The 12,454-nt window shown below is 39.8% G+C and overlaps 1 protein-coding gene across 8 annotated transcripts in view, besides 1 other annotated feature; it reads right to left on the bottom strand.

Annotated features, from left to right (window-relative positions):
- ZNF493 (zinc finger protein 493) overlaps positions 1-11,707 on the bottom strand; it is a 30,445-nt gene extending 18,738 nt beyond the window's left edge. For 2 of the 8 annotated variants that reach the window (XM_047438680.1, XM_047438681.1), the window contains exon 1: positions 2,984-6,587. Coding sequence is in view for 5 of the 8 variants with exons in the window: in NM_145326.3 (NP_663299.2) it covers positions 1,312-1,367; positions 2,984-3,082; positions 3,585-3,711; positions 11,573-11,602 (312 nt within the window). In the remaining 3 variants the exon portion in view is untranslated. Of the gene's footprint in view, positions 1-35; positions 1,368-2,983; positions 6,588-8,419; positions 8,459-11,417 lie in introns of those variants that run through there. The other 6 variants (NM_145326.3, XM_047438678.1, XM_047438677.1 and 3 more) reach the window with 6 other exon arrangements.
- Positions 11,430-11,668: a silencer, noted in NCBI's record as "fragment chr19:21579974-21580212 (GRCh37/hg19 assembly coordinates)". NCBI's record gives its function as "represses an EF-1alpha promoter that drives an FKBP-Casp9 reporter gene in an ReSE screen in K562 erythroleukemia cells {active_cell/tissue: K562}" and the evidence as "EXISTENCE:reporter gene assay evidence [ECO:0000049][PMID:32094911]".

Genomic DNA, 12,454 nt, shown 5'->3' with positions numbered 1-12,454 from the left:
TTGGGGTCATATTTATAGATAAACACACACACATATATGATTGTGATAGACATATGGCTATCTTTTAATTCAACCTCACATTGACATAAAGTATACAGACAGAATTGCAAATTGACTAAAATTATAATACATAACCAAAAACCACGATAAGCTGATATTAAGATACCTACACTGAAAACACCACTAATATGAAACTGCACAGGAAGAGACGTTTAACTCATACAATTTGGTATGCAACATTAATATACCATTAAAAAAGAATTTGTCTAACTACAGTATTTGACTGTAACTGTACTCATCAAAAGCAGGTATTTTGAAAAATTGGCAGTAAAATTTCAGAGAATATGCAGTATAATTATAAATAAAATATTCTGATGAGAAACTTTTAATAAGCATTTAAAAGAAACAAGTGGCCGGGGGTGGTGGCTCACGTCTGTAATCCCAGCACCCAGGAGGCCAAGGCGGGTGGATCACCTGAGGTCAGGAGTTCGAGACCCAGCTTAGCCAACATGGTGAAACCCCGTCTCCACTAAAAACACACAAAAAATTAGCTGGGCGTGCTGGTGGGCACCTGTAATCCCAGCTACTCAGGAGGCTGAGGTAGGAGAATCGCTTGAACTAGGGAGGCAAAAGTTTTGATGAGCTGAGATCACACCACTGCACTCCAGCCAGGCGACAGAGCGAGACTCCTGTCTCAAAAAAAAAAAAAAAAAAAAAAAAAAAAATTGGGAAGTACAACTACCCAAGCCTCTTGTAACATGACAACTAAATATGGACCCTAATGTAGAACCAGCAGCCTTGCAACCAAGTTACAACCCCACTCCACTACAAACCCAGAGGGCATCCCAAAACCCTGGGGAACACAAGAAAAGAAGATCTTTACCTCCTGAAATCAGCTTATAAAAACTTAAGGAGTTGTTTGCCATTTCAAATTCACAGACACCAATAGTAAACTCTATTGTGCCCTTTGTCAATGTTTCTATTTTAACATAGCACTGGAAGCATGTGGCAGAATAATGAAAAAAGAATTCTTTTTAAAGCCATTGAAACTGAAGACAAATAAGTAAAAAGTTGCTGTTTGAGGAACATATAATCTTACACATAAAAAACCACAGTACATTGAAATTTGTCTAAACTAATAATACAGTCAGTAAATTAACAAAATATAAAATTAACATAAAAGTGTAAGTTATTGTTCTACACACTTAAAACAAGCTATTGGATACAATAGAAATAAAAAAATTTTTATTAGGCTGGGCATGGTGGCTCACGCCTGTAATACCAGCACTTTGGGAGACTGAGGCGGGCGGATCACGAGGTCAGGAGATAGAGACCATCCTGGCTAAAACGGTGAAACCCCGTCTCTACTGAAAATACAAAAAAATTAGCCAGGCATGGTGGCAGGTGCCTGTAGTCCCAGCTACTCGGGAGGCTAATGCAGGTGAATGGCAAGAACCCGGGAGGTGGAGCTTGCAGTGAGCAGAGATGGCACCACTGCACTCCTGCCTGGGCGATAGAGTGAGACTCCATCTCAAAAAAAAAATAATAATAATAATTTTTTAAGATTAATAATAGTGATTCCCCTGGTTCAGCCTCCTGAGTAGCTGGGATTACAAGTGCCCACAGCCACACCCAACTAATTATTTGTATTTTCAGTAGAGACGGGGTTTCACCATAATGGCGAGACTAGTCTCGAACTCCTGAACTCAAGTGATCCACCGGCCTCAGCCTCCCAAAGTGCTGGGATTACAGGCCCCAGCCACCGTGCAGCCAAGAAAGCAATCTTTTTAAAAATATAATTAAAATAATAAATTTCTAAGAACAAATTTAACCCGAGGCAAAAAATGTTAACAATAAAAGATATAAATCAATAAAAGGAATTAGGCAAGACACAAATAAATTTACAAATATTTCATATTTATGGATTGAAAAAATAAATACTGTTAAAGTACCATATTCTCCAAAGTAATCTATAGATTCAGCAAACGACCTATCAAAATTCCAGTGGCATTTTTTTCTTATAGTAATGAAAACTACGATTTTAAAATTTACAAAAAACTACAATAAACTTCGAATAGCCAAATTAATTATGAGAAAAAAAAACAAAGCAGAGGGACATCATACTTTATAATTTCAAACTATATTTCAAGAATATACTAATAAAAACAGGATGGAATGTTCAGAAAATTAACATAAAAACCAATAGAACAGAGACCACTACCCTCATACATTTTAGAAATGATGCAAAAAAAGAACTAATAAAATAGTTTAACATAAAGTTTCTCAAAATCATGCAGATGCAGATATTTGTGTGTCCCCCAAAACAATGGAAAAGCAGTCAGATTGTGCAGTCTCTTATATGCCATGAAGATGATTTGGCTCTCACTGTAAACTTAAAGGAGTATCAATGAAGAGAAAGTAGAATCCTTAGAGAATTTAAAAGCATAAGACAGAAGATGGCCCTATGTGAGAAAAAGAACAACAAAAAAAAAACAAAAAAATGCCAAAGGCTTCCGAGAAACTCTTTGCTTTGGAACATAGCTTCCCAAATCAGCAGGACAGATTTGGTGATGGTATTATATTCACTTGATAACTATTTTCTTTTCCTTTTTTTTTTGAGATGAAGTCTCACTCTTGTCCCCCAGGCTGGAGTGCAGTGGCACCATCTTGGCTCATTGCAACCTCTGCCTCCCGGTTTCAAGCAATTCTCCTGCCTCAGCCTCCGGAGGAGCTGAGATTACAGGCAACTGCCACCACGCCTGGCTAATTTTTGTATTTTTAGTAGAGACAGAGTTTACACCATGTTGGCCAGTCTGGTCTCGAACTCCTGAGCTCAGGTGATCCACCTGCCTTGGCCTCCCAAAGTCCTGGGACTACAGGCATGAGCCATTGCTCCCGGCCAGGACTGGCTTTTTTTTTTTTTTTTTTTTTTAAATCTTTCAACCTTTCATCTATGTCAACTGTTTCATTCACTCTCACCTACCTGGGGGTTTGACTACCGTACTGTGTCCCTTCATATTCCAGGGATCTTTTCCTTGCTCCAGACAGGTGACCAGATCTGGCTTAGAGACAGCAATACCTGCTTTATTAAAAATAAATAACATGAATCTTGCTCATATTCTCTAATTACCTACCTAGTACCATGCTTAGTAAAGAGGATGTAATAGAATATTCTAGAAAATTTATCCCAAAATACTATTTAATGACAGAAAGTTCTTAACATTTAGAAAATATTTTAAATTTGTAGGTGCTTAATTTTGCCACCCAGTATTCATGGATAAAAAATTAGTGGTGGCATATAGATTTTAACATATGGACAACAATATTTTATACTACTAAATTTCTGAAATTACCACTACTGTAGAGTGAAGGATACAGACCGGCTCAGAAATGTAAAAAGATCAGGCCAAGATAAAACATCCTGAAGAAATTTTTTTCCACACGGACAGTTCTTCAAGATTTCTTTAAAACAGGCACCAGAAACTCACTTATGCAAAGCATAAATTACCAAAAATTATTCTATGAAAACAGAGAAATGAAAACTTTAGGGTATATAAGGGATTTTGTATTAAAGTTATTCTCACCCAAGAAGACCAGGTTTCTGTAGTTCTCTAACATCACTTTCCTATACAAATCCTGCTGAGCAGTGTCCAGGCATTGCCACTCCTCCAGAGAGAATTCTATGGCCACATCCCTAAATGTCAACGGCCCCTGAAACAAACACACACAAACACACACACACACACACACATTTACACGTGGGCAAAATTTATCATTTGAATTAAGGTCAAATGAGAAAGTAAAGAAAATTCGTTCTGACTTACAGGAATGACTGAAATTATCCAACAATTTTCAACACAGAAATATTCTCTAATGTATTCTCTAACTCTGAGAGAAGAGAATGGTATAAGATCTACAACACCACTGTATATATACTTTTATTAATAGTAAAGTATAAAGCTAAAGGCATAAACACAAACATGTACATTTTTTAGTGCTATATTTGCCACACAAAGAATGAGTTGTGTATATTTTTCAGACAAAAGATATGTTGAGTTAGAAGGCACCTCTCAAGTTTTAATGTGAACAGTAAACTGGAGATCTTGTGCAGATTCTTTTTTCCCAGAAGATCTGAAATAAACTCTGAGTTTCTGAATTTCTAACAAGTTCACTAGTAATGCCAATGTGTTTGGCCCAGAAAGAATATTTTGTCAATATCCAGTAAGTGGAAGATCCTGTGTTTTACTCAATTTTTCTGCCCTGTAAACAAAGATAAGAGTCTTCATTTTCCAAAGACAGATAAATGCAAGGAAAACCTAACAAAGAAAGGCAGCTGCCAGATTAAATGTGATGGTTTATGCACAGCTCTTCCTTAGCTACATAAAGATACTTAATAATGAAGAGAAAAATAATTAACTCTATAGTGAAATAAATATTTCAGAGAGCTCTTTTAAGTAAATTTTAAAATCAACTGCATTAGGACAAATGTTTATGATGTGCTGATGCACACAGAAGAAGACATCATCACTGCTGAGATATTGCCCCTCAAAAAGTAAATTATAGTCTGAGGTTAACCATACAGAAAAATCAGTTTTATGCAGAGTTCAAAATGCAGATATCTTCTATGTTCTGCAATTTTTAATAACATTTTAAAGTAGTCTTTCTTTAGCACCTGAGAGAGCAGGTATCTCTCAATAACTTTTTTTCAGAACTTTCAGGGTAATAAACACCATCCTGTTTAAATAAGCATTTTATTAATCCTGTTCTGCATAGAATTAATGGAGAAAACAGATGAAACCACAACATTACATGTTATTTATCTTTACTAAGGACCCCAGCTTTCCGCCAATGGGAATCTTGAATATCTACATTTTCCCACGTTCAATGGCAACAAAGGGAACATTTTAAGTAGTGCAGATTATAAATTCATTTTAAGAATTCTGCATGGCGTATAAGAAGCCATGATTTAGAGAGTGTAGAGAAGGTTCTGGGATATAGGAGAGAGATATTTTGCAGAGACCCTTGACTATCACAAGAATTTTCTAAAGTAGTTAAAACAAACTCATTAGGGGAAAGAAACACAAGTAGGGAAGTAAAGGTTTGCAAGGACTAAACGCATGGCAATCCAGGAGGCAGAGTGGACACAGCTCTTCATCTGAGACATATTTAGCTGAAAAAAAAAGCCATTTTTCCTCTTTTGCCTTCTTTGGAAATCCTTTTCAGATGACATTCTCTGGAGAAGTTACACCTGCATCCTGAGAAAATTCTTGTAAAGAAGTCAGCACCACCTATTTACCTGCTAGCCTCACAACCACAGAAAAAAAGAAGAACTGCAGAAAAAGCCCACTCACTTTTGTCCTTTATAACAGGAGAGATTCAGGAACAATGAGCTGCTCAATGAATATAAAAATATGTTTCTCTATTTGTCTTCATGTGCCTGCCCTTGCCACAAACACCAGCAATTTCTGCTATAGTAATGAAAATATGGGTGACACTGACCTCTTCCTATCAAAACCAAACGGAACAGTTCCTGTGACCACCTTTTAGTGCAAAGGTGAAACTTAACTCTCATGAATCTATCTTGAACCCCACACACTTAATTCTGTCCTCACCTTAAGAGTCACATGAGACACAATTAAAACATGAATACTTTCACCTAGAACAATACACAGAACCTGTGGAGAGAGCACAAGTAAAGAGATTTCTGCAAATTGGCCATGTAATCCCGACACAATTCTGTCCCTGACATCCTCAAATGTCTTAAAGACACCTAGGTGATTGTGAGACGGTTCTCAGTGACTCAAGGCTGATGGCCCAGTGATAAGCCAGGCTGAGAGAGATTCATGCTGATTCTAAATAGAAAATGGAACTGCTTTGGTGGAACTCCAGAACCTGGATCACCTATCCTGATGTGCTAGCTTTTGGGTAAGAAGGACAAGAATACTCTACTCCATTATTACAATTTACAGGTAGGTATAGTTGTGGTCATAGCTCTGGATACTTTGTGGCCTTATCCCTCACTCTTAAGATGCTTGTTTACACTTATAGATTCTGTCATCAGATTCTATTTATACCTGGAGCCTCTCATATAACTGTAGCAGGTCACTAAACAAGATCTGAAAAGCTTAAAAAGCCACACTCTCAAAGGGGGGCTTTAAGATGTCTATGTTGACATCTCACAATGCAGAAAATGCATTTTGTTGGTTTTCATTACATTCACAATTGAAAGTCTGGCCCTGTCTTGTAAATCCCAGGCAGAGGCCTGACCCTATGTGCAGATTCTAAGTGGGGTTAGCCTGACTCTGCATTCTTGGGTGTTACAGCAAGCAGAGTACAATCAAAGGAGAGATCCCTTCATAGAGGCTCCTCTAGCCCATTCTATTAATATGTCTACCTAAAAGGAAAAAACTGAGGAAACATGAATATAATTAGAGAGTTCGTCAGGGCCAAGCTTGAGGATTATAACCTTGGAACAATGATACATCCTGCAAAGACTGAACAAATAAGAAATTGAATCCCTGAATAGACCAGTAACAAGCTCCAAAATTGAATTAGTAATAAATAGCTGGCCAGGGCCAGGCATGGTGGCTCATGCCTGTAACCCCAGCACTTTGGGAGGCCAAGGCAGGTGGATCACAAGGTCAGGAGATCGAGACCAGCCTGGCTAACACAGCGAAACCCCATCTCTACTAAAAATACAAAAAATTAGCCGGTCGTGATGGCGGGTGCCTGTAGTCCCAGCTACTCGGGAGGCTGAGGCAGGAGAATGGCATGAACCCATGAGGTGGAGGTTGCAGTGAGCCGAGATCGTGCCACTGCACTCCAGCCTGGGTGACAGAGCGAGACTCCATCTCAAAAATAAATAAATAAATAAAATGAAATAAATAAATAAGTAGATAAATAAATAGCTGACCGGGCATGGTGGCTCACTCCTGTAATCCTAGCACTTTGGGAGGCCGAGGCGAGTGGATCACGAGGTCAGAAGTTCAAGAACAGCGAACAGCCTGGCCAACATGGTGAAACCCCATCTCTACTAAAAATACAAAAATTAGCTGGGTGTGGTGGTGCACACTTGTAATTCCAGCTACTCAGGTGGCTGAAGCAGAGCATTGCTTAAACTCAGGAGGTGGAGGTTGCAGTGAGCTGAGACTGTGCCACTGCACTCCAGCCTGGGCGACAGAGTGAGACTGTCTCAAAAAATAAAATAAAATAAAATAAATAAATAAATAAATAGCCTGCCCACCAAAAATAAAACAAAGAACCACACAAATTTACAGCTGAATTCTACCAGATGTAAAGTAAGAGCTGGTACCACTCCTACTAAGATTATTTCAAAATACTGAGAAAAAGGGACTTCTTTCCAACCCATTATGTAAAAACAGCATTATTCTAATATGAAAATTTGGCAAATATAAAACAAAAAAATAGAAACCTTGAGGCCAATATTTTTAATGAACATTGATGAAAATATCCTCAAGAAAATACTGGAAAACCAAATCCAGGAGAACATCAAAAAGCTAATCCACTACGATCAACTTGGCTGTATCTCTGAAATAAAAGGTTGGTTCAACATGCAATTAATAAATGTTACTCCTCAAGTAAACAGAACTAAAGACAAAAACCACAGGGTTATTTCAGTAGATGTTAAAAAAGCTTGCAATGAAATTTACCATCCTTCATGTTTAAAACTTTCAAAAAACTAGGCATTGGAGGTACATACATCAAAATACTGAGTTATCTAAGTATGACAAACTTACAGCCAACATACAAAATGAACACAAGCTGGAAGCATTCCTTCATGAAAACTGGCACAAGAAAAGAATGCTTTTTCTCAAAACTCTTGTTCAACATAGAATTCAAAGTCTCGGCCAGAACAATCAGGGAAGAGAGAGAAATAAAAGGCATTCAGACAGGAAGAGAGGAAGTCAAACTATTCCTGTGTGCAGATGACAGGATTCTGTATCTTCAAAACCCTACAGTCTCAGTAGAAAAGCTCTTTAAACTAATAAACAACTTCAGCAAAGTTTCAGGATACTAAATCATAGCATCCCTGATGTACAATAACAACTACATGGTCAGTATGACCCTCCCTGTCCCCTTTTATCTTAACCTTAACTGCATCTGCCTGTAGCTTTCCAGGACTCTGTAGCTTCTGTCAGCAGAAAGGCTTCTTCCATGGCTGGAGTGAGCAGGCTGGAACATCTGCAGGGGAGGCTCTCCAGAAAAAAAACTAACTAGGCCTTTAATAAACTCCTTTTGCAGGCTCAGTATTAGCCTTAGCTCTGAGTCACTGGGCTCAACCTTTAATTTTCACGTTAGAGTTACTCACTTGGTTTTTGAAATTAAGTATTTAAAAAATTCAGCAAAATTACTGAAACACAGTGTTCACATACGGGAAAAAAAATTTTAAGGTGCTTACATTTTTTTTTTTGAGATGGAGTCTCTCTCTGTCACCAGGCCAGAGTACAGTGGTACAATCTTGGCTCACTACAACCTCAACCTCTTAGGTTTAAGCCATTCTCCTGCCTCAGCCTCCCAAGTAGCTGGGACTACAGGTGCGTGCCACCATGCCCAGCTAATTTTTCTATTTTTAGTAGAGGCAGGGTTTCACCATGTTGGTCAGGATGGTCTTGATCTCTTGACCTTGTGATCTACTCGCCTCAGACTCCCAAAGTGCTGGGATTACAGGCATGAGCCACCGCGCCCGGCCAAGTTGCTTATATTGTATACCTTAATAAGAAAAGCAAAAGTATCTATTTCTTTTAGAAAATAAATGTCTTATTCTATTAATTCCACTAAAAATCATGCAGTTAACAATGAGTCATATGAAAACACTTCCAGGCAGTATCAAGTTTCATCTCATAATATTTAGCATGAAACTCACAAATCAAGATAACAGGATTTGAACAGAGATATTCACTGTCAAAAATTTACCTTGCAAAAAAAGGAACTTACGTTTTTATGAATCTACGTAACTCACCAATTACCTACCGCATTTTCTCATGGAAATGTATTCATTTTCTACAGCAAAAATGAAATGGAGATTTTTTCTCTCCTTTTTCTTGGCAGCACTCTAAAAGCTAAGCCTTGAAATTCTGTTTGAAATCACCCAGCTATAAAAAAAACACACCTGAGAAAATTCAAAAACTCACTCTGGGAAAGAAAAAGGTACATGAGAATTTTTAACAAATGACATATATGATTAGATATAATTTTTTGAAACCCAAATCTTTTATGCCCTTTGTAAATATTTTTCTACCTTTTCAAGTCCTACTAATATAATGCAATTTACAGCTAAAAAACTGAGGTCAAAATAAGTGAACAAATCTCTTCAAGGTGACAAATCCAGGAGTGGCAGTGCTGGTTAAATAACAGATGTGGGCCGGGCATGGTGGCTCACACCTGTAATCCCAGCACTTTGGGAGGCCGAGGCGGATGGATTATGAGGTCAGGAGATTGAGACCAGCCTGCCTAACACAGTGGAACCCTGTCTCTACTAAAAACACAAAAAATTAGCCGGGCATGGTGTCAGGCACCTGTAGTCCCAGCTACTTGGGAGGCTGAGGCAGGAGAATGGCGGGAACCCGGGAGGGAGAGCTTTCAGCGAGCCGAGATCGGGCCACAGCACTCCAGCCTGGGCGACAGAGTGAGACAAAAAAATAAAAATAAAAAAATAAAAAATAAAAAATAAATAAATAACAGATGTGTCTGACTCACCTTTCAAGTCAGGCCATTCAATAACTTGAGAGATTCTTCCACCCACTCCTGCTCACTTGTGTGCTCAAGAACCACCCATTCAGGAGACACTGCAGTATTTCTTGGTGACTGTCCCAGTTGCGTTTTACTTTGCAAGCTCTTACACCATCTCACTGGAGTCAGTTTTGTTTTTGTTCTTGTTGTTTGTCTTTTGGGATACTATTTTTTGGGCCACAAATTTTTCACTTTTTTTTTTTTACTCTTTTTCTTTTACTATATTAATTTCACTATTTTTCTGCCCCCTTAGAGAATCCAGGGGGCAGAAATTATTTCTGTGTTTTCCCCTCATTACCAGCATCTGATTGGCTGACCAGCAATTTGTCTCCAAGAAATGGAAGCCTGGTTGAGGGAAGGCAATTTTAACATTTCAAAGGGTTACCCGTTTCAAAATAAGAGTACACCGGAAGATTCCCCTCAGCCCCAGAATATCCACTTGCTCCCTTGAGAGGATACACTCCATACCTCAGGTCATCTTATGGGAGAAAATAAACCAGAAGCTGAGATCCAATGGACACTCTAGCTAACATAACCATGGCAGTTATCTTGGTTTATCCCCAGATAGTACTGAAACCCATGACCAGGAAAAAACCAAAGGGTGGCTGAGGACACATCACCCCATAGATTTTCCAAAGGAGAACTTCGACCCAAAAACATTCTGGTAACATCTCTGTGCCTAGACAAGATGAAAGCAAAAGAGACAGAGATTTACTACAATGCAGTGTCAGGGTATTATTATTTGCCTTCTTTTCATGGGAAATATTTACAAACAGATAACAAATCTCTTTAAATGCACCATTTAACCATTTAATGCTTTGCCAAAAAAATAATTAAAATATGGTATAAAAAAGTACAGTAAAAGACAAATAGGCGATAATGTGAATTAGGGAGGAAAAGGTGGCATTTAGGAACGTCAGAGGAAACTGGAAATTATCTTACTGCAAGCCAGAGTGAGGCCGGAGAAATGGGGGATTGGTTCCAAGACTCTGCTTGGGACACAGGTGAAAAATACAGCAGAAAATCAGTTCCCTGTGGAGTGTGAAAATAATTAAGTGGCAGGCAATTAGACTGAGGTATTTCTAGTCCCTGAATTCTTACTTTAAAAAAAAAATCTAACTCAGGTGCATTATTTTTAATTACTACATTCAGAGAAACAAAATTCAGGCTTCAGCAACTGTAAACTGCCAATTAAGCTCTGATTACATAACCAGGAAATTTTCACCTTTAACGCACATATTAAGAAACCATGTAACTGTACCTAACCAATTAGTAAATTTGGTTTCTTCATCATGCATTTTATAAAAGACTTTCCTTCAAGCCTCTCCCACAGACCACAAACTACAAACCATAGCTGGGTGCTCTACAATTCTAGAACCACTCTTTGATTACATTCTTTAATATTTTTGCAGTGACGCCCATAAATTTTTAATAGGAGAAAATAGCAACTGGGAACCCCACGGACCAAAGCTCTTCCCATTCATGAACCCGCACCCCAAGTCAGGATTCTCCCCTGATGACCCTCCCGTGGTCCCCGCACAATCTGAGAAAGACGCGGCGCTGCGGGTGCAGAACTGCCAGAGAGGACTCCAGGCAGGGCACAGTCACAGTGCAGGGAAGAGACAGGACGCCCGGGGCCCCGGCTGTTGGCGCAGCCGCCAACTTACGGCTGAAGGAGACTGAGGCCGAGCTGGGCAAGGAGAACTCAGGGAGCAGATTGTGGAGCTGACTGCGGGGAGGCCTGAGTCCCGCCACAGCCACTTCCCACCGGTTCCGAGCAACTCCTTCCCCTCTCTCGTGATGTCGGACCCAGCACTCTCACCATGTCTAGGCTTTCAGGGGGTCCTGGCATCTTAGCTATGGATTTCCCAGTATCTTCAGGTCACGAAGCCACACACGCTGAGGACACAGAGCAGTGAAGGGTAGACCTGGAGCTCCGGCAGCAGAGAGAAACAATGGCCCAGCCACATCCCGGAAGCCGTCCTCGCCGCTCCAAATGTGTGCCTAATTGGACGGTTCCCAGTTCTGCGTGTCTGATTGGATACGGTTTAAGGGCCCGCCCCTTCAGGCCCTGAGTGACAGAAGATATGACCAAATGCTGGGCGGAGTGAAGAAAGAGTGATAGCCTAGGCTGCAGCCTTTTCAGGCAGGGCTTCCTCCCTGAGCTGAGCCAGGCACACCTTAGAGGGTATTTTCCCTTAACCTTGTGTATAAGGTCATAAGCACTTATAAATAATATATGGCTATTCACAAATTTAAAAAAATAATTATTTTAAAATTTCAGCTTTTATGACCTTCCTGGCTCCTAGTCCTTTGAACTAGCAGCCTGAGATTTTTAAAAGGAGCCAATCTTATGAAATAAGATGTGAGCCACATGTGAATTTTAAATTTTCTAGTAGCCAGACTTTAAAAATAAAGAAGGGCCGGGCGCAGTGGCTCACGCCTGTAATCCCAGCACTTTGGGAGGCCGAGGCGGGTGGATCGCCTGAGGTCAGGAGTTTGAGACCAGCCTGGCCAACATGATGAAACCCCGTCCCTACTAAAAATAAGAAAAAATAACCAGGCGTGGTGGTGGGCGCCTGTTATCCCAGCTACTCGGGAGGCTGAGGCAAAATAATCGCTTGAACCCGGGAGGTGGAGGGAGGCAGAGGTTGCAGTGAGCCGAGATCGCCCCACTGCACACTCCAGCCTGGTCAACAAGAGT

This window comes from Homo sapiens, chromosome 19 (assembly GCF_000001405.40).
Source record: "Homo sapiens chromosome 19, GRCh38.p14 Primary Assembly".
Taxonomy (NCBI): domain Eukaryota; kingdom Metazoa; phylum Chordata; class Mammalia; order Primates; family Hominidae; genus Homo; species Homo sapiens.
This window is presented reverse-complemented; position numbering and strand designations above follow the sequence as displayed.